Here is a 22,849-nt window from a genome sequence, read left to right as displayed (position 1 = left end):
AATGTAATTGCGGTTTTTGCATTGTTGAAATTTGCTGTTTGATATTGGAATACTTTCTTAAATAAGTGTGGTTATGTTGTACATCATTTTAATGCACATTTCTCACTTTTATCTTTTGCTAATGACTTATTGCTGTTTATTTTATATTTATTTTAGACTATAGAAGTGACGTTAGACAAAAAGCAAATTCGCGCAATTTTCTTATTCGAGTTCAAAATGGGTCGTAAAGCAGGGGAGACAACTTGCAACATCAACAACGCGTTTGGCCCAGGAACTGCTAATGAACGAACGTACAGTGCAGTGGTGGCTCAAGAAGTTTTGCAAAGGAGACGAGAGCCTTGAAGATGAGAAGCGTAGTGGCCGGCCATCGGAAGTTGACGACGACCAATTGAGAGCAATCATCGAAGCTGATCCTACTACATGAGAAGTTGACAAAGAACCCAACGTCAACCATTCTATGGTCGTTCAGCATTTGAAGCAAATTGGAAAGCTGAAAAAGCTCCATAAGTGGGTGTCTCATGAGCTGAGCGAAAATCAAAAAAATCATTCTTTTAAAATGTCCTCTTCTCTTATTCTACGCAACAACAACGAATCATTTCTAGATCGGATTATGACGTGAAATGATTGTATACGACAAGCAGCAATGACCAGCTCATTGGCTGGACCAAGAAGAAGCTCCAAAGCACTTCCCAAAGCCAAACTTGCACCAGAAAAAGGTCATGGTCACTGTTTGCGGTCTGCGGCCGGTCTGATCCGCTACAGCTTTCTGAATCCAGAGGAAACTGTTACATCTGAGAAGTATGCTCAGCAAATCGATGAGATGCACCAAAAACTGCAACACCTGCAGCTGGCATTGGTCAACAGAAAGGGCCCAACTCTTCCATGACAACCTCACTTCGTGCGACTTCACGGCGTACAACCAATGCTTCAAAAGTTGAACAAATTGAGCTACGAAATTTTGCCTCACCTGTCATATTCACCTGATATCTTGCCAACTGACTGCCACTTCTTCAAGCATCTCAACAACTTTTTTCAGGGAAAATGCTTCCATAATCAGCAGGATGCAGAAAATGCTTTCCAAGAGTTCGTCGAATCCTGAAGCACGGATTTTTATGCTACAGGAATAAACAAACATATTTCTCGTTGACAAAAATATGTTGATTGTAATGGTTCTTATTTTGATGAATAAAGATGTGTTTGAGCTGAGTTATAATGATTTAACATGCATGGTCTGAAGCCGCAATTACTTTTGCACCAACCTCATAGTATATGTGCTGCTAAAGCGAGCACTTATGTACAAATTTTGGTGTGGATATACGCTTTTTCAATTCTCTTGGTTATATACCCAGAAGTAGAATTGCTTGGTCATAAAGTGGTTCAATCTTAAGGCCAAGGCTCCAGGGAAGATTTTAAGATTTTTTTAAGCAGCAGTTTTAAATTCACAGCAAAATTTAGACATTACAGAGGTTTCCCATATACCCCTGCCCCCACCGGTGTGTAGTCTACCCCATTAACAACACAAGGAAGCTTCTGAATTGTCCATACCTCAGGGTGAATTGTTTCAAGTAGCCAATCAGATTACTTTGGCCTATGAACTTGAGGAAGAATTTTATTTAGGAAGCAGGGGAGCGGGAGGGCAATTTTAGAATTTAGGGCAATGTGGAGAAAGACATTTATATTAGGATTCGTATTATCATGAAAGAAATTGAGCACAATTAGATTAGGCAAAGGGGGAAGTTTTTTGGCAGCCTTTCATAATTGCAGAGGGGATATAGTTGGAATTCCAGGATATCTGGAAGCAGGAGCTCCAATACCACTAACTCTCTTCCTTATCTCTCAGCTTCTCTCAGCATGAGGCTTCATTCTCTCCGCACAGCTTCCTTCATAGCAAGGAACAGGACTGTCAACAGTTCCCCTGCCTCGGTGCTCACAACGTTGTTCCTAGACAGAGACTGAATTTCTTTCCTTAAGCTCCAAGTGAAAAAATCCTGGGGATGGGTGCTGCTTAACTTGGCTTATGGTTTGACCTAGCTTTGACCAGGCTGTGGAAGGCTCTGTGGTCAGTGCACGAAGTATTCTGATTGGCCCAGTTTTAGTCATGTTCCCACCCAAAGACTCATGAATGTGACCAAAGGGCAGGATTTGTAATAACGTGGCAGCTCCTTTTGAACCACATGTTTGTAATGGGGAGAAGAACATGAGTCAGAAGAAAAGGGGTTCCATTACCCAAAGAAGGGAGGAGTTCTGGGCTGGCACACAACAGGTGTCCACCAGAAATGCCTGGGTGGGTTGGCATGACCTTGGGCAGTGTGAGTGCCCTGGGGGCCCAGAGGGGCAAATGGTTGAGAGACAGGTGTTTTTTCTTTTTTTTTAAATGGAGCCTTGCTCTGTCACTCAAGCTGGAGTGCAGTGGTGCAATCTCGGCTCACTGCAACCTCCATCTCCCGGGTTCAAGTGTCTCCTTCCTCAGACTCCTGAGTAGCTGTGACTGCAAGCATGTGCCACCACACCCAGCTAATTTTTGTATTTTTAGTAGAGATGGGGTTTCACCATGTTGGCCAGGCTGGTGTCGAACTCCTGACCTCAGGTGATCCGCCCATCTCGACCTCCCAAAGTGCTGGGATTACAGGCATGAGCCACCGTGCCTGGCCAAGAGAGGTTTAAGTGTAGCAAAAACAAACTCCTGGCAAATTTTTTAAGGGACCCAGAAGTCCTAACAGCCCTGCATAGTCCCCCAAGTAACCTCTGGTTATAGCTTCTGATAATCTAACAAACCACATACTGACTGAGGCCTCTTGCCTTCTGCTACTCAGGTAGCTGGTGAAGGAAATGTACCAATTCCTGACCATTAGCATTTCTTCCTCAAGAGATTAGGTTGTAATGTGAACCACAGGGCCCTAGTGCGGCATTTCATGTCAAAGATCACATTGCACCGATTTGCTCTGCTCTCCTGACATTTTCTGGCTTGCTTCCGCACTGTATTCACAGTGTTTATTGTATTCACATTGAAGGTCACCTCTTTGGAGACCTCCCTTACCCACTTAGGCACCCTCACCTCTATTCTCGTATTTGATTCCTTTTTTTTGTTTTTGTTTTTGTTTTTTTGTGACAGAGTCTCGCTCTGTCACCCCGACTGGAGTGCAATGGTACGATCTCTTCTCACTGCAACCTCTGCCTCCCGGGTCCAAGTGATTCTCCTGCCTCAGCCTCCTGAGTAGCTGGTATTACAGGCACGCGCCACCATGCCTGGCTAATTTTTGTATTTTTAGTAGAGACAGGGTTTCACCATGTTGGTCAGGCTGGTCTCGAACTCCTGACCTCGTGATCCACCCACCTCGGCCTCCCAAAGTGCTGGGATTACAGGTGTGAGCCACCGCACCCGGCCTGATTCCATTTTTAACACATTGATCATTACCTAATATCTATGGGTTTCTCACTTAATATTTTTCTCAACCCCTCTGGAAGAGCAGTGGTCTTCATACTTATTCAGGATAAAATACTGGGAAATCGTGATGCTCTTTGTGACATAATAATGCATTTAATTTTATCTTATGGGATAGGAACAATTTGCTTCCAGAAAAATGGTTGTATGCATGTACTTTTTGGTGAGGCTCTCAGCTTAGCCTAAACTATAATTCAGATGTCCATCTGGGCATGCAGATCCTACAACCACCCCACCGTGATCCCAGATTGGCATTAGGCAAGTAGCAAAAGATCCCTTTTATTTGCATATGTATATAAAAATATAGCAAAAGGAATAGAATGATACTTATCGAGTTTAAAATAATAAATTCACTGGGGGCTGGGTGTGGTGTCTCACGCCTATAATCCCAGCACTTTGGAAGTCAAGGTAGGTGGATCACTTGAGGTCAGGAGCCTGAGACCAGCTTGGCCGACATGGTAAAACCCTGTCTCTACTGAAAATACAAAAATTAGCCAGGCGTGGTGGCACACGCCTGTAGTCCCATCTACTTGGGAGGCTGAGGCAGAGAATCGCTTGAACCTGGGAGGTGGAGGTTGCAGTGAGCCGAGATTGTGCCACTGCACTCCAGCCTGAGCGCCAGAGTAAGACTCAGTCTCAATAAATAAATAAATAAATTCACTGGGCATGATGGTGCACATCTGTAGTCCCAGCTACTTGGGAGGCTGAGGCAGGAGGATCACTTGAGCTCAGGAGGTGGAGGCTGCAATGAGCCATGATTGTGCCTCTACACTCCAGCCTGGGTAAGAGAGTGAGACCCTGTATCAAAAAAAAAAAAAAAATTAAAATAATGATTACTTCTGGGAACCAAGAGGGATAACATTCAAAAGATACTTTAGCATTAACTTAATGTTCCAATATTTTTTAAAGAAGTATATGTGTGCACAAATATGTACATACATAGGCAGAGAGAGAGAGAGACAGAGACAGAGACAAAAAGATGGAGAGAGACAGTGAGACAGAATGTTTTTAAAAATAGTAGGAACATCAAATGTTTTTAAAAATAGCAATGTTTTTAAAAATAGTAGGAACATCAAAAAGGACTTGGAAGCAAATATGCCAAAATATTAACAGCAGTTAATTTTGAGTGGTAGGAATATAACAGATTTTTTTTCTTTATTCGCTTACTTATTTTCTTAATTATTCCTCACTAAATAAAATAATATAAAAATAAAATCAATCACAAAAATAGAAATAAATCACTGCTAAGAAGGCTTTTACTGTATTAAACTGATCGAAAAGCTTAACCTTTTTTTCTCTGCAATACCAAACTCATATTCTTGCACTTTCAGTTCCTAGTTCTAGAATTTCTCTCTATTTCTCTCTCCTTTTTTTTAAACCATTTTATTTTTAATACAGTGCTGATGTTCTGAAACTCTCTGGAGAGGAAAGATGTGAGCATGACCTTGTGGCTTCTCTTGACTTTCCAGAGTCATTTTAGATTCAGAACTGATTACATATTATCTCTAACCAGCAGAGTGATTGAGCTCTTTGAAAAAATAGAATTTTAATGTCTCTTTCTATTAATAGCTTGCATTTTTAATATGCTTTGTTGAGTAGATTAGTCTCAGAATCTGCAAAATCTGTGGTAAAACTTGTTTGATCACAAAGTCTTTGATGGATACAGTAAGTGCTCTGCACCCCCTTTCAGCACTCAGAATTTTAGTAATCACATGGCTGATATTGACAGCTGTAGAAGTGTTCAGGGTAGGGATTTTTGTCTGCTTTGTTCATTGCCATAAGCTTCCCCAGTTCTGAGAACAATAGGTAGGTAGCGTGAAAGTGCTCAATAAATGTTGAATAAATACATTAATTTGAAGCATTTAGGAACACCTTACTTATGTATTGCTTAATTTAAGGGTTTGTCTACTTTCTCTCAGGGTGACAGTCTCTAAGAATATGCATAATAAAGTACGAGGGTTTCAATGTCTTCTCTGATGGAAGAGAAGAAAAGCACCGGGGAATGGGAGCCTAGACTGATCAGGCTTGGGTCACATGCCCACTGGGGGAGTGGGAGGCAGTATGAAGATTGGAGTGAGACTCACTTACGTCAGGAATCCAAAACAGTCAAACTCACAGAAGCATAGAGCAGAATGGTGCTTCCCAGGAGCTGGGTAAAGGGGAAATATAAATGCGGAGGTGTCAGCCAAAGGGTGCAAAAAGAGAGAGTGAGGAGGAATCTTAGGGGTGATGGTGATGTTTATGGCATTGTCTATAGTGACTCTTAAACAGTTGTATACTTATCTTCAGACTCTTCAAGGTGTATATATTAACTATGTACAGCTTTTATGTGTAAATTATACCTCGATTTTAAAAAAATGAATTGGCATAGGAGAGGATCAGCTAAAGAAGGGGAGTGCAGTTAACAAGAGAATAGGACATAGGGCATTGGAAAAGTAAATGCACATGGTATCCATGAGCACATCATAAACTATTCACCACATTAGAAATTTCAGAGACAAAACTTTAAAAGAGAAATAGGAGGAAGATGGTAGGTATGACGGTGAGGGGCAGAAGTTGGAGGAACAGAAGAAGCCAGAATGTGTGAGGTCTAGCACTCTGGGATGAGGACTGAGAGGGAGTCAAGCAGCAGATCAGCAGGCGCAGCAGGTGCAGCAGGCCAGGGCGCAGGGCTGGGGTTTTACTCTGTGTATGGAAAGCTCTCAGAGGGTCTTGAGCCAGGAGGTGACATGATCCATTTCTGTTTTTATTTTTATTTTTTAAATTTAGGGCTGGGCATGGTGGCTCACGCCTGTAATCCCAGCACTTTAGGAGGCCAAGATGAGTGGATCACGAGGTCAAGAGATCAAGACCATCATGGCCAACGAGGTGAAACCCTGTCTCTACTCAAAATATAAAAATTAGCTGGGCATGGTAGCATGAACCTGTAGTCCCAGCTACTCAGGAGGCTCAGGCAGGAGAATCGCTTGAACCCGGGAGATGGAGGTTGCAGTGAGCTGAGATCACCCCACTGCACTCCAGGCTGGGTGACAGAGCGAGACTCCATCACAAAAAAAAAAAACTAAAATTGTACGTATTTATTTATTTATTTATTTATTTATTAGAGACAGGGTCTCACTCTGTGAGCCAGGCTGGAGTGCAGTGTCACAATCATAGCTCATTGCAATCTCAAACTCTTGGGCTCAAGCGATCCTCCTGCCTCAGCCTCCTGAGTAGCTGGGACTACAGGTGCCTGCCACCATGCCTGGCTAATTTTTTAGATATTTATTTTGTAGGGATGGGGTTTTGCTATGTTGCCCACGCTGGTGTCGAGCTCCCAGCCTCAAGCGATCCTCCTGCCTCAGCCTCCCAAAATGCTGGGATTACAGGCATGAGCCACCAGACCCGGCTTATTTATGTTTTTAAAAGCTCATTCTGGCAGCCATGTGGAAAACCGAACACGGGGAGGTAGCAAGAGTGGAAACCTGGAAACTGGTTAGGAAGGTATTTCAGCCATCCAGGCAAGCAGTAGAGAGACATATTAGACTTGTCAGACGTTAAGTGACAATTCACATAGTTAATCGTGATTGGGATATATGTTGCAAAAGGGATGAATAGGGCAACTTGGTCTTGTCTGGGGGATGGGAGGGGAGTTAGCTAAGGTTTCTCTGAGCAAATGACATTTAAGCTGGGACCTAAAGGATGAGTGAAAAGGAGATGAGTAGAAAATTTCTAGCACAAGGGATACTGGTGAGAAGCTTTGAGGCCAGAGAAAGCCCAGCTCACTCCAGGAACTAAAAGGAGGCCAGTGTGCGTGGAGCAGAGAGCAAGAGGGGAAGTTGTGTGAGATGAGGCAGCAGGAGGTGGATCTTCCAGGGTCTTGCAAGCCTTACAAGCCTGGTCACACTATTGGGCTTTAGCCTAAGTGCAGTAGGAAGCCATGGAGAGATTTTAAGCCTAAAAGGAACATCACTTGTTCCCTCACTTAACATTTATTTATTAAGCAATGTCTACATGACAAGACGAGATTCACAGTATAGAAAGAGCACTTTGTAATATGGGATGTTTTTAAGAGGGGGCACAGAGGGCGAGTGGGCAGGCTTCTGAAGTAGATATTGGGAGACCATGGTGCTTTGGGTCACAGAGGTGGGAATGGGAATAGAGGGAGGTGGGGGACATGGTGATTGGCAGGCTGGTGGAGCAGGGGTGAGGGCAAGGCTCTGAGATTGGGCACTGCACAATAAGCACTGGCAGATGGGGTTCAGCAACGGGCTGGGACATTGTATTAGATTCCATTGAGAGTGTGGTCAGTCCCTGGCTTCTTATCCCATGAGTATCTTAGAATATCCTTAGAGGACGGTGATAAGACTTGCAGAATTATAAGACTAGCAGGAATCAGATGACACACTTAACTTAGAATCATTCTAATTGGATTTATTTACAAAGGGTTGCTTATAGAGACGTGGGCAGGGTATAGGGGAACCACAAAGGATAACCCTCGGCCCCAGTGACGAGGGGAGGGAGCAGTCACCAGACGCCAGAAGGAGGTAGTCACATGGAGAAGGTCACCTGGATAGAAGCTGTAATCCTTGGTCAAGGGACTCACAGGGAAGAAGCCAAGGAGTAAAAATTCTTCCTGACTCATTTTCCTCCCTTTCATCAGTCCAGTGCCCCAAATCCCCACTGGTCAACCCCAACCAGAAGCCAGAGGACTTGGAAGCTACAGTGTGGTGTGTTCAGACCAACCTCCAGGTGGAAGTGTGGAACAAAGAATGGAAAATGGAGCTGAAGTGGCAAACAGAAGTCAACCAAACTCAGTCAAACTCAACCAAACATAGTCAACCAAATTTACAATTCAAAGTGTCACTTCTTGGCCTGCATTGGGTTACAATTTTATTTTATTTATTTATCTTTAATAATAGAGATGGGGGTCCCACTATGTTGCTGAGGCTGGTCTCGAACGCCTGGGCTCAAGAAATCCTCCCACCTTGGCCTCCCAAAATGCTGGGATTACAAGCATGAGCCACCACACCCAGCCAAGGGTAAGATTTTAAATATTCTAATTGGGAAACAAAAATGGAAGAAGGAAAATGTGTGAAGTTGTTCCCCAACTGTTGGAGGAAGCCCCTCCATACATCTCCCCTTTAAAAAAAAATTTAAGGAGTTGACAAATAAAAGTTATATATATATTTATGTTGTACCATGTAATGCTTCAATATATGTATACATTGTGAAATGGTTACATCAAGCTAATTAACATTCAACACCTCACCTATTTATGGTCTTAGTAAGACCTTCACCCATGCTTATCTGTTACTCAGGATATTTAGTTGTAAATTCCAATGAAAATAACTTTTTGGTATCTGTAGCTTTTGCCAATCGTTTAGCAAAATCTTCTAAAATACATTTTGAGAAATGTGGATTTTACAGTGAAGTTCAAAGGAATTCAGTTTGCATCCTGCACAAATGTGGATTGTTTTCTGCAAAGACAACATAGGCAACTCTCTGAAGCTTAAGCATATCAGGACTGGGCCATCCTGGCCAAATAACAAAATTATTTCTGCTGTATCATGAATTTGAGTTATCAAGCTTTCTGCCGGTTATTTTGCCCACTAGCCAAGTTACAGCAAATTTGTTTTTCTAAGCACATCGTCTTTTTAAAATCCATGACAAATCATATGGAAAAAATGTCATTCTTGCTTAAAACCCAGCTGGTCAGGACATTTTCCATTTACAACCCAATAAAACAGGTTAGTCAGGTATCTTATTTCTTTGCTCTCTAAAATGTTATAATCCTGGAACAGGCTTTTAATATTTTTCTTAATAGCTCTGGTTTCCACTGAAGTTAACAATGATTATTTGTGGTCTGATAGTTCTCTTGGCACTACACCAAAAACAGAAGCGAGAAAGCACATTCTCAGCCAGAGAGGCTTAACAGCTAAGCCAGACATTCAGCTGAGAATCCAAATTCTTCTCTTCTATACCTCCTCGCTTCCTTGAGCAAAAATGTCATCTGGCAGGTTTTTTGGTTTCCTAACTCCAGAAAGCTATTTGAGCCCAGCAATTCCCAAAAATGTCACAGCATTTTTAAGTGCATATAAATTCCATCTATTTTCTTAAATAGAATATTTGCCTCCAAGTTAAATCAAGTACTTTCTTCTCTACTTAGAAGGTTCTTTATCAAATATTGTCTTGGGCCAAACTGCAGCCTGAGACTAATCATGTAGGCAGGTCAACAGCAGGTTGTGAGGTGGATACAAACAAAGTGGAATGCTATCCCTTCTCCCCTTTCCTCTTCCTCCTGCAGTCTGTCTCTGCCCCGCAGCCCCTCCTAGGACAGTCTTCCCCTTGAGAAAGGGAAAACAACACTGAGAGGGTGGGGGCAGGGAGGCTGCATGAAGAGCTTGGGAAAGCTTGGTTTCTGGGAAAGCTTGGTTTCTGAACACTTTAACTATCGAAGTTCAAGAGCAACAAAGAAGTTACAGTAAAAAGCCTAAGAAGCAAAAGGCAACTTAATTTAGTCTTTAACTTTAAAAATTAAAAGTAGGGAACAGGAAATTCTACTTAACAGAAGCAAAATTAATTCAAAAAATCCAATTCTAAGTTATAATCATTTAAGGGCAAGAGAGGTGATGGAGAATGAAGGAAAATGAAGAGGGAGAAATAGAAAAGTGACCTTAATGATTGTGAAATTTCTGTGAAATTCCTAAGAAGCACAGGTCTAATGTATTCATATTAGTACTATATATGAACACCCTTAATATATTAATCCCATTTAAAAAAGTACAACCCTTTAAGAAACACAGGTAAATACCACTAGAACTTATTTTTCTAGAAGAGGAAATTGCTACCTAGAACTTAGAAACCTAACCATTCGTAAATCTCTCTATCTTTATTATTTTAAACTAGAAAAACTCTTACTTCTGGGTATGAAAGTGGAGAATGTCATATCATATGCATAGAGAATTGGGTCAAGTTGAAATGGATCAGCGCGATTTCAAGATTCTTTGGAATATTGCCACATGAGGTGGAAATAAGTGGGGTTTTCACTTTTTATAATTGTGACTAGTGGTATTACTCCGTAGGGCTGATGAAATTAACAAAGTTCCTCTGTCCCTCCTTTACATGAACTCAATTCGAAAAGTTGAGGAAGGGCCAGGCTTATGCCTGTAATCTCAGCACTTTGGGAGGCCCAGACAGGAGGATCACTTGAGGCCAGGAGTTCAAGACTAGGCTAGGCAACATAGCAAGACCTCATCTTTACCACACACACACAAAAAATCGCCGAGTGTGGTGGTTCACACTGTGGTCCTAGCTACTCAGGAGGCCAAGATGGGAGGATGACTTGAGCCCAGGAGTTCAAGGCTGCAGTGAGCTATGATGGCGCCACTGCACTCCAGCCTGGGTGACAGAGCAAAATTCTCTCTAAAAAGAAAAGTTGAGAAAAGCCCGCAAATATCTTCCATTTCTTTCATGAAATCTGAATATCCACAGGCCTCTAGCCTGTAAGTACAAATGAGCATTTTTATACACATTTTGTGAGGCGATGATCCCCACCTATTCATGACTACCCCACTACAGTGTTCTCCCTCCCAACTCCACAGCAGTGTTTCTAGAAGTCTCTGGGGAGTGTCTAGGGGTACTTAGGAATTCCACGAGTTCCCATCCCACTAGACTTGTTGGGCATCTCCATGTCATTTAGACATCTGTTTATGGGAGAAGCAAAGGGACTCACCCTCTGGCTCTCAGCTCCCTTTTGGGTAGCCTCACACTGCTCTCTCTTGACACCGTAGGCAGCTGTGTGGCGAGATGGCCTGCAGGTTGCCATGGCTCCTTTGCCCTTGGAAGGCCTGGGAGTCAGATGACGGTCAGGGAAGGGGCTGATGACAGGGGTGAGGTCCAGCAAAGGGGAGACCTAGAGGGAAAAGCTTGGGCCTGGCTCTCCTATTAGAGCAGAAAGATAAAGGAGACTTCTGTAGTTTCTATGATTTCCAGCACAGCTCAGCGGAGCAGGAGACCAAAAGAGAGTTGGGATCAAATTTTGGACCAAAGCTAGAGTCATTTTGCCTGGCTTCATCCCCTGGCTGTATGGCTCTCCAGGACTTATAGGTGCCATGTACGTAACTGGCCAGTTACATACAACACAGCTCACTCCATATGTCTTGTGTCAGAGATGCTCACACAGACAGGGTTTGGGTACATTTTCTTTTATTTGCTTTAAACTTCCACCAGCAACCTCAGAAAATCTCTCTATGGACAACTTAGTACACTGACATTAACTCCTCCCACCACAAAGCAAATCAGCCAAGATGTATGAAAATAAGTTTTATTAAAACCAATTTGTGAAAACTAATTCCTGTTCATCTTTAACAGTCAAGTTACAGGGTTCCAAAGTCCATATAATTCCTCAAAAACTTTTCCTTGGGTCACTCACAGTACTGGGGGTTCCATGGTCATTCCTGACTGTTCATTCGCTTAATTTCTTGCTTTGATAACATGGCTTTTCCAGCTCTCACTTATTTGCCTGACTTCTGACCTGACTCTCATATACCTGGTCAGACCTGGGTCAGACCCCTTTTCCATGCGGGGAGATTGGCCTGACTCCTTTAGGCAAATGGAAGGCAGACCCAGAAGCAGGGCTATCTCTTTGCAGGCCTGGAGGCTATAGAGTGGAAGGCAAATTCTACAACTGTGGCCAAAATCGAGAGCCAGTCTAAACCAGAGAAGTGTGTCCAAATGGGTCATCAGGACAAAGGGGCTCAGTACTGGTCAAGGTGGACAGAGTGAGAGGAGGGAGATCTGGGGTAGCAAGATTGAGTAGGGTAGCAGGATTAATCTCACAGAAACTGATACCTGGGAGATGTTCATACACTTCTTTGGAAGGTGTTGCACAGGCAGGCCACACCCATTTAAAGGCAGCAGGATGGGATGAACAGACAGTTCTCTGACTATGTCCTGACAGGACCTCATTCTCTGCCCACATGCTCCTCCCTAGCCTGTTACAAACGCCACCTCCCACCCCCAGAGCTCACCTAGTTTCTGCCATGACCTGTGAAATCTGTATCTCCCTAATTTCTATTGATCTTGTTTATAATTTGTAATTCCTTCCTTTGCATTGGCCTCTAATTTTTATGGGCACCTGGATAAAATATTTACTGATCACTTCTTGCCCAGCTGACATAAGGAACCCTTGTCTTTTTCTGAGTGCTGTATCTAGTAGAATAGCCCAGACCTTGAAGTTAGGCAGGTCTATGTTTGGATCTCACCCTGCCAACTTGCCAGTTGTGTGATTTTGGTTAAGTTACTAACTACTCCAAGCCTCAATTTTCTCATTTGTCAAATATGCACAATGAGATTATTGTGAGGATTATGTGAGACTTCATATATAAAATAAATGGCATAATGCCTGGCAGAATATATACTTTGCATTCGCCTTTCTTTTGAACTCATTTTGTAGGGGAAAAGTGAGTGAAGAAGCCATGGTTTTGTGGGCACCTAAAGTTCTGTTTTATATATCACCAAGAAGAGAAATAGGATTCTCTGGGTTTATGGGAACCTAATAACTAAAGTTCCTGGCAATAGATGAGTCGCATGATGTCTTAATCCTAAAATTAAGAATCATAAGAAAAGCAGTGGTATCTGCAGTGTCCATGGCACCATTTAACACTATTCAAACATTTCAGGCAAATCTCAGTAGTAATGTGTTTTGCAGTAGCCCTTTTGATTTTTTGCTTGGCAAACTGTCATGACCTAATGGTTAGAAAGGGACTTGGATAGAAAAAGGGAAACCCCGAATATTAATCAGTTCCCATGCTTATGAATAGTAAACAGAATTAAAACTGCCTGATGAAATTAATTTATTAAAAACCTCTTTAATAGAGCAAAAAGAATTCCAAAAAGGAAAATATGTTGGCATTATATGCCTCTAAAAAAGTATTTTTTTTTCAATAAGGCCGATGGCAGAAAAAATATAGATAATTAATCAGAATAAATGTAGTTAAGAAAAACTATTTTGGCCAGGAGCTGTGGCACACACCTGTAATCCCAGAACTTTGGGAGGCCGAGGCAGGCAGATCACTTGAGGTCAGGAGTTTGAGACCAGCCTGGCCAACGTGGTGAAACCCAGTCTCTACTAAAAGTACAAAAATTAGCTGGGCATGGTGGCGTGCGCCTGTAATCCCAGCTACTCGGTGGGCAAGGCAGGAGAATCGCTTGAACCCGGGAGGTGGATGTTGCAGTGAGCCAAGATCACGCCATTGCACTCCAGCCTGGGGGACAGAGCGAGACTCCGTCTCAAAAACAAACAAACAAAAACAAACCCAGGAAGTGAAGAAAAACTCAGGCAAAGGTTTAGTAATAAATAATAAAAATGATTAAGTGACTGACAGTAAAGAAATTAAGTGGCCCTCATAAATGCATCCTGACTCAGGAAAAACACTCAATGATTCAGAAGCAATGGAGATAATACCATGATCTATAGACAAATCTGCTGGATGATGGGCACCTGGGGAAAGCAGGGAAGTACGTGCTATAAAATAGGCACCTGTGGCTTGTGACTGGCCTTGACAGCCTAGAGTCCTCCAGTTCGCCTATGCAAAGATCTCATTCCAGGCAGAGGATCTAGAAGTCACCAGGCTAAACTTGCTAATATCCTTGTACTTACCCCGACCCTTCCAGAGTGTCTGAGACTTGCACCTTCTTCCTTCCACAGCAATCCCAAAGCTTCTCCCAACCCCCATCCCTGGGACAGAAGAAATGACTAAGTAAAAAACACAAGACTTTAGCAAGCTCCTGATACAGCAGAGCCAAGAAATTATGCAAAATCTGAGTTTATCTATAATTACCTCAGAGAAGGTCATGGCTTTTGTTTGTCACAGGCTTCCCTTCCACCTGGTCTGGTTTTAATCCACAACATAATTCTCTAAGCAGCGAGCCTAACCTCCCAGAATACCACAGGGCTAAGGAAGGAGTCAAAACGCTCCACATGGATGGCAGAAGACACATTTGCTCAATTTGAGCCTGTGCACTAGGACAGGCTTAAAACTAAATCCTGGGTTTGAGCACCACTCACCAAAGTATTTTGCTTTGGCATGGTACTGGAGATTAAAGGTAGGAAAGATTACATGGTCACATCAGAAACAAAGTTTACTTTCCTGCCTATGCAGCAGTGGCTTGTTTGCCCAGTAATCTTACTTCCTTATTAAGCAATATTATGGTGGGGCAGGGAGAGGGCCGGAGACATTCTAGGAGACGGGAGCACAGCAGTAGACTGTTGAGAAGGGAGAGGCTATACCCACTCCCTCGCCTCTTATGCCTTTCCTCTAAACACATCTTCTCCATTCCTCAAGCAAAAGTAAGGTCCTCTCTCCTTTATGTGACCTCCCAGTCATGTCAACCCATTCCTCAATTTGATCATTCACTTAGTCACTCAAATGATTATTGAGTGCCCGCTATGCACTGTCTTATGATAGTTCCCTCCATGAATGCCTATGGCACTTACTCCTCATTGTGCTTGGTTATATCAATCAATCAGTCAGTATGCATTTCTCCATAACTGTGATGGTTACTGTGCTCATACTATGAGGTCTACGAAATTGCTCCTGTGAATCTACTTGGGAAGACATGATATGTCCACTTATCATTGAAAAATAAATGATAAATGCCAAACAAATGATGCAGACAGAAAGTGATATGGTTCAGGAAGAGGTTACTGTGGGCTAATGTGGCCAGTAAAGGAAGACTTTCTGGAGATGCTGTGGCGTTAGTAGTGATCAGATAAATGGAGAAGGGCATATAAAAAACAGTGTAAGAAAAGGCACAAAGACCTGCATTAAAAAGGCATGTTAGGAAACTGAGATATGACAAAACTGGCTTAGCTGCTCACCAGCTGAGAGCAACCCTAAATGCTACAATGCCAGCCTGAACACAATGTCCTGGTGAAAAGAAGCCAGATCCCCTTTTGCATTCCTTCTTACTGGGTCTCATAGCTTTTCCATCCTTCTATTCTACAGAGGGCACCCTGAGTCCCGGTTAGAAGCCAAGGTCCTGCTTTCCCACCTCATTCATGCCATCCCATTTCCCAGGAGCTGGGCCCTGATTCTTTCTGGGGACCTAAATTTTGAGTAGATTACCTTGAATAGCATCTCTGCATAGAATTTGGGGGGATGAGATACATGTTAAGACCAGTGAATCCAATAGACATATGAATAGCTTTATTCTCAAACTTCCAACCTGAGGTGATCCATCCACCTCGGCCTCTCAAAGTGTTGGGATTACAGGTGTGAGCCACCGCGCCCAGCAGCTTCACACCTTTTACTATAAAATAAGCTCCTTAATCAGAAACGATGTTTTATGGTATACCATGATGGTGAATGAAGCAGTAAGTAAATCTATAGATCATATTTCTCTCAGATGTATGGCGGGTAAGAAAGGCAGATTACCCAGAATGAATTTCTATTCCAATAAGAATAAATGACCAAATTGCTCTTCCTTAGTCAAAGAAGAGGACAATGTAATCAATCTGCCACCAGGTGGCAGTCTTTTCTTGCTGAGTATAGCAGTGAATTGAGGGCTCAAGGTCAGGCTGGCATTCAAGCAATGGCAGTAGCTAGATTAGCTTTGCTGAGGTGAGGCCCATATTAAGTCCATAAATAATTGTGCAAGTACAGAAGTGTTTGGGGAAAAAATATGAGAGTCATAAAATGGGTAATCTTGTCCACTGGTTATTCAGAACGTCTCAACCGCAAAGGCTATTTGACTGTCATTCACATGAGACACAAATATTCTTACACTCTGGGATCATTCCGAGATATTCATTCACATACATTTCCCCTAAATCTCCAGCTACCAATCCCTTGGTGTTCTGTTCTTTCTTCCAAGTTTTTGAACATGTGACCTTACACTTAGCCCCTGCCCTTGAAAGTGCATAGATCTGCATCTCAGTCCACCTTTTTCAGCAAATGGACCATGACATGCAGTGATCAAAGTTATGCTCAGTGGGAGGATTTACATTCTTTATTGTCTTTCAGACATCTAAGTTGGACAGCTGTTGTGGTTCAATTTTGACTGGTAACACCACACCATGGAGAGTCATCTGTTATCCAGGCTTGAATCCCTTCTTCCTTTCTCAACTGATCACAGGGAACTTCCCGTTAGGATACAGTTGTGGGCTGAGTGTGAAAAGCATAGGCATACTGTGAGTGAGGGTCACCTGCTTAACTAATTAGAGTCTTCAGAAGCTGCTTAAACCTGAGCTTATGTATGCCAATTCTGCTTAATGATGAACTGCTCTGGGCTTTCCAAATTTATGGTTTGGTGTCTCAGACAAGTCCCAGTTAAAATGGGCAACTCACTTCATATGAGGTATCCCGTGGTCAGGTAGAGGTGGCTGGATGCCTTGGTAAGATATGTGGATTCCAGAATTGGTCAATACACTCCATGAAGTTTCAGGGCCCAGCTACTTCAGTGTGGTTTTTAGGAGTCCAGTGGTGAGAGACTTGCTGGAATAACCTCTCCAAAGTAAAAGACAAGTTGTGGCGTCTTCCACCTTAACCCAAAGAAGAAAGCACAGAGCCTGGAAGTCTCTTTAGATTCTGATGCAACATATCCCATACTTAGGAATATTGCACCTGCCCATATACTGGGTGACATGGAAGGCTGACAGCTTTGAGGGGGCTTGAAGAAACAAAGGGCACTCCATCAGGTCCAGACTGTGGTATAAGCAGACCCCTACTCAGGTCACATGATCCAGCAGGCCCTATGGTGTTGGAGGTATCAGTGGTGGCAAAAGATGCAGTGAGGGGCTTATGGAGAACTCCAGTGAGAGAATCACAAGGCTGACCCCTGGGATTCTGGAGAAAGGTCATGCCACCCACAGCAGAAAATTACATACCCTTTGAAAAACAGTTCTTGTCAAGTTGTTGTCTTGTCGAGTTGCAGAAGGCAAGTTACTCTGGTAGAGGCAGAATGTTTGACTATTGAACATCAAATGACCCATGCATTCAGAACTTATTCCCATTGTAATCAGGGTTCTGTCCATAACATCAAGTTAAAAAGTTAGATGGGCCCAGTAGCAATCCATCGGTTGATGAAAATGGTATATCCAGATATATCCAGAATCAAGTCCAAGTAGGACCGGAAGGTACAAGCCAGCTCTATGGGCAAATAGCTCAGGCCCTCGTGTCACCTATTACAGTTGCACTAGTTCCTCTCCCATGGCTTATACCAATGGCCTTGTGAAAGGTCTCTTATGATGAGTTAAAGTGGAAGGAAAAGCCCAAGATTCGTTTATAGATAGGTCGTCTCAAGTGCATACTAAAAATGAGTGGTGACTGCATTATCGCCACATTCAGAGGTGTTCCTTAATGACAGTGGAAAGGAAAAATCTTCCCCAAGGACAGAGCTGGGAATCTGCTTTGGTGGAAGGAAAAATGGCCTACATATAAATTCCTGGGTTGTGGCCAATGGCTTGGCTGTCTGGTTAAAGGCCTGGAATGCAGAGGACTGGAAGACCAGAGACAAAGGAAATCTGGGTAGAGGAAGTGGATGGACATGTGAGAGTAGGCACAAAGTATGAAGACTGTTGTATCACATGTCTACCAGAAAGTATCCACCAGACATTTAACAACCAAGCAGACACAATGGCTCTGCCAATTGATATTAGTCAGACTGCATCACTGGCAATCCCAGAGCTGAGATAATGGGCACATGAGTGGGGTGACCATATGGCAGAGGTGGAGACCACATATGAGCCCAACAGCATGGACTCAGAGCAAAGCCAATCTAGTTATCTCTGAATGTTCAACTTGTCGGCAACAGAGACCATCACTAAGTCTTCAACATATTATTTCTCAAGGAAAACATCCTGGATATTAGAACTCTCCTATTCTGAAAGGGTTAGTGGTTCACTTTCACAAGGATAATGCCTATTCCAGGTATGGGTTTGCCTTTCCTACCCACAGAGCCTCAGCCAGGACTGCTATCTAGGGGCTTATAGAATGCTTGATCCACAGGCATGGAATCCCACACAGCATAACATCTGGCCAAGTGACCTGCTTTGAAGCAGAGGTACAGGAATGGACCCATGACCATGGGTTCCATTGGTCATATTACATGCCACACCATCCAGATGCAGCCAGGCTCACAGAATGCCAAAATGGCCTTCTAAAGGGGCAACTGAAATACTGACTTTATGGGTGGGTCAGTCTGTCTATATTCATTTATTTATTTGTCAGAGTAACATGATAAAAATGCTAGCGTGATTATTTCTTTTTTAAAATTTATTTTTCTTTTTATAGAGATGAAGTCTCACTATGTTTCCCAGGCTGGTCTTGAACTCCTGGGCTCAAGTGATCTTCCACTTTGGCACCACACTCAGCCTCTTTTTATTTTTATTTATTTATTTGTAGAGATGGGATTTCACTATGTTGCCCAGGCTGGTTTTAAACTCCTGGACTCAATCTATCCTCTTGCCTTGGCCTCCCAAAGAAAAGTGCTGGGATTATAGGTGTGAGCCACTAAGCCTGGCAACAGCGATTATTTCCATACGGTGAATTTAATTTTCTTCTTTTTGCCTACCTATATTTTCTAAAGTTTCTGAATGCATTAGTGTTAAATTAACAGGGTAAAAATAAAGAAAACTCCTCTTTTCATTACTCTATAAAATAGCTCTCCAATTTCTGAGCCCTGGCATTCTTACCTTTCCTCTCTTGAACTCTCTAAACTCCTTCTGTCTCTCTTATCACCATAAAAAACATCCGGTACTTCTCAGGAAACACAGAACCACTTCCCTGAAACCATTTACCACATAAATCTGCATTGCTGGGGCATTGGTCCCAGATGGTCCCTGGACTCTCTCAACCTGTGAGTACTGTTTTGTCAACAGTGTTCTGAGTGCTTTGTACACAATATGGCAAAGAAATTTACCCTGGTGCCTTCTGAGTTCTAGAAACCTGCTACTATTTATCTCAAATCCTAGAAACTCCTATTTCATTGTGAATCTGTATTATTTATTGCTGCATTACAAATTATCCCAAAATTAGCAGCTTAAAGCAACATTTATTTCACACAGTTTCCAAAGGTCAGAATCCAGGAATACATTAGCAAGGTGCATCTGCTTCCAGGATGGCTCAGTCACATGGCAGCTGACATTACCTGTGATCCTCCTGAGCCATGAAGGCTATCACTTACTCCTTCTCTTAAGCACACGTGGATAAACCCTGGGGCATGATTAGATCAGTGAGGTTTTTTTCTTTTTTAATAGAGACAGAGTTTTGCTATGTTGCCCAGGCTGCTCTTAAACTCCTAGCCTGAGCTATCCTCCCACCTTTCCTTCCCAAAGTGTTGGGATTACAGGTGTGAGCCACCATGCCCAGTTATCCTTGAGTTTTGTTTTGCTTCTGAGATAGGGTCTCATTCTGTCACCCAGCCTGGAGTGAGTGCAGTGGCAAGAACACAGCTCACTATAACCTCAAAGGATCCTCGCACCTCAGACTTCTGAGTAGCTGGGACTACAGGTGCACACCACCTCACTCTGTTAATTTTTAAATTTTTTGTAGAGACGGGGTCTCACCATGTTACCCAGGCTGGTCTCCAGCTCCTGAACTCAAGTGATCCTGCTGCCTCACTCTCCCAAACTGTTGGGATTACAGGCGTGAGTCACCGCATCTTGTGAGCTTTTTTTTTTTTAATATTTTCTTCCCTTAGATTGCCAGTCATGCTTTTACTGCTAAAAATGCTAGCAGTGATTATTTCTTTTTAAAAAATGTGTTGAGCTCTAAGCTCACAAAGTACAAAATGCTATAATTCGAATGTTTTGTCCTCTCCAAAATTCATATTGAAACTTAATCCCCAATGCAACAATATTAGGAGGCGTGGCCTATAAAAGGTGATTGAGTCATGACAGCTTCACCCTCATGAATAAGATTGGGTGCCCTTATAAAGGGCTTGATGGAGAAAGTTTGCCTCTTTTTGCCCCTTCTATCCCTTCCTCTATGTGAGGACACAGTGTTTCTCCTCTCCAGAGGATGCCTCAACAAATCACTGTCTTGGGAGGGAAGACCGGGCCCTCATCAGACACCGAACCTGCTGGGATCTTGGACTTCCTAGTCTCCAGACTGTGAGAAATAAACTTCTGTTGTTTATAAGTTACCTAGTCTCAGGTGTTTTGTTTTAGCAACACTAATGGATTAAGACATAAAGTAAGGGCATAGAATATAAAAAGGATAGGTGTTTCACTCAGAAAGAACTATCCATTTTTTTCCAATTTTGCTCAAATGAACAAATGAAAACCAGGTCAGGTACAGTGGCTCATGCCAGAAATCCTAGCACTCTGAGGCCAAGACAGGAGGATCACTTGAGCCCAGGAGTTCAAAACCACAGTGAGCAATAATCGTGTCACTGCACTCCAGCCTAGGCAACATAGCAAGGCCCTGTCTCTAGCAGATTTGGAATCTGTAGGCCTAACAAATATGAAAAGAAAGATCTGGGCTCAGTGATCAAAAATAGTTTGATGAAGACATGATTATGAACTTAATCCTATTTCATTTCCAGGCACGATGGGATTTGGGAACTAGATTTACTCTTCTGCCAGCAACAACAAAAACAAGCAAAATTCTTTTGAAACTTAAGAAACTAATTTAAGAACAAGGCACAGTGGTGTGCTCCTATAGTCCTAGCTACTCAGGAGGCTGAGGCAGGAGGATTGCTTGAGCCCAGTTCGAGGCCAGCCTGGGCAACATAGTGAGTCTCTGTCTCTAAAAAAAAAAAAAAAAAAAAATTAAGAAACTGGAAGAAGAAGAGCAAATTCAACTAAGGGTGAGCAGAAGAAAAGAAATAATAAATATGAGATACAAATAAATAAAAAAGAAAAGGCAAAAACAGTAGGAAAAAATTAATGAAACCAAAAGCTGGTTCTTTGAGAAGATAATAAAAGTGATAAATCTCTAGCCAGACTTGTCAGGAAAAAAGAAAGAATATATGAATTATCAATATCAAGAATGTGAGTGGTAACATCACTAAAGTTTCTATAGTTATTAAAATAATAATATGGAAATATTATAAGAAACTTTTTACATATCAATTTAACAGCATAGATGAAATGGATAAATTTTTTGAGTGACAGAAACTATTAAAATTCACTCAAGAAGAAATAAGTAACCTGAATAGCCTTATATCTATTAAAGAATTGAATTTGTTTTAAAAAATCTTCCCACAAAGAAAAGTCCAAGTTGCTTAACTGGTAAATTCTAAATAATGTAGAAGGAAGAAACAATATCAATTCTATACAAATTTTACCAGAAAATTGAAAAGTAGAGAATTTTCCCCCAAATAATTCTATAAGGCCAGTATTATCCTGATACCAAAAACCAGACAAAGACATTATAAGAAAACTATAGACAAATATCCCTCATAAATATGGTTGCAAAAATTCTAAAAATATTTTTAGCAAATTAAATGCAATAATATATAAAAAGGACAGTACATCATAGCCAAATACAGTTTAACCCAGGAATGCAAAATTGGTTTAACATTTGAAAATCAATGTAATTTATCACATTAACAAGCTGAAAAAGAAAAAGCATATGATCATCTCAATAGATGCAGGAAAATCATTCAACAAAATCCAGCATCCATTGATGATAAATCTTCTCTACAGAGAAAGATTAGAAGGGAACTTCCTTAACTTGACAATGGCCTTTATGAAAAACCTACAGCTAACATCATACTTAATGGTAAAAGACTAAGTACTTTCTACCTACTATTGATAATCATTCTCATCATCTCTGCTTAACATCATACTAGAGGTTCTAGGCAATATAATTTAAAAAGAAGATACAAATTAGAAAAGAAGAAGTAAAAATGTCTTTATTTACAAATAAAATAATTATCTATGTAGAAAGTCGACAGGATCTCCCAAAATCTACTAGAACTAATAAACAAAAAATAGATATAGGCTGAGCATGGTGGCTCAACCCTATAATCCCAACACTATGGGAGGCTGAGGTGGGAGGATTGCTTGAGCCCAAGAGTTCTAGACCAGCTTGAGCAATTTAATGAGGCCCTGTCTCTACAAAAATAAAAAACAAACAAAAAAAATTAGCCAGGCACAGTGATTCATGCCTGTAGTTTCAGCTACTTGGGAAACTGAGGTGGGAGGATTGCTTGAGCCCAGGAGTTCAAGGTTACATTGAGCTATGATTGCATCACTGTACTCCAGCCTGCAGGACAGAGCAAGACCCTGTCTCCAAAACAAAAAAAAAAAAACAAAAAACTATTAGAACTAATAAATGACTTTAGCAAGGTCTCAAGATACAAGATTAACATTCAAAAATCTATTGTATTGTTATACATCTGTAACAAAGAATTATAAATTGAAATTTTGAAATATCATTTACAATAGTGTCACAAATATAATACTCCAGCTCTTTC

General features: G+C 41.9%; 2 annotated features.

Annotated features, from left to right (window-relative positions):
* Nucleotides 1,711-2,005: a silencer, noted in NCBI's record as "tiled region #5366; K562 Repressive DNase matched - State 9:DNaseU". NCBI's record gives its function as "represses a minimal TATA promoter and a strong SV40 promoter by Sharpr-MPRA in K562 cells {active_cell/tissue: K562}" and the evidence as "EXISTENCE:reporter gene assay evidence [ECO:0000049][PMID:27701403]".
* Nucleotides 9,611-9,905: an enhancer, noted in NCBI's record as "tiled region #610; K562 Activating non-DNase unmatched - State 7:EnhWF". NCBI's record gives its function as "activates a minimal TATA promoter and a strong SV40 promoter by Sharpr-MPRA in K562 cells {active_cell/tissue: K562}" and the evidence as "EXISTENCE:reporter gene assay evidence [ECO:0000049][PMID:27701403]".

This window comes from Homo sapiens, chromosome 1 (genome assembly GCF_000001405.40).
Source record: "Homo sapiens chromosome 1, GRCh38.p14 Primary Assembly".
NCBI lineage: Eukaryota > Metazoa > Chordata > Mammalia > Primates > Hominidae > Homo > Homo sapiens.
Note: the sequence above shows the minus strand (reverse complement) of the source record. Positions and strands in the feature narration are given on the sequence as shown.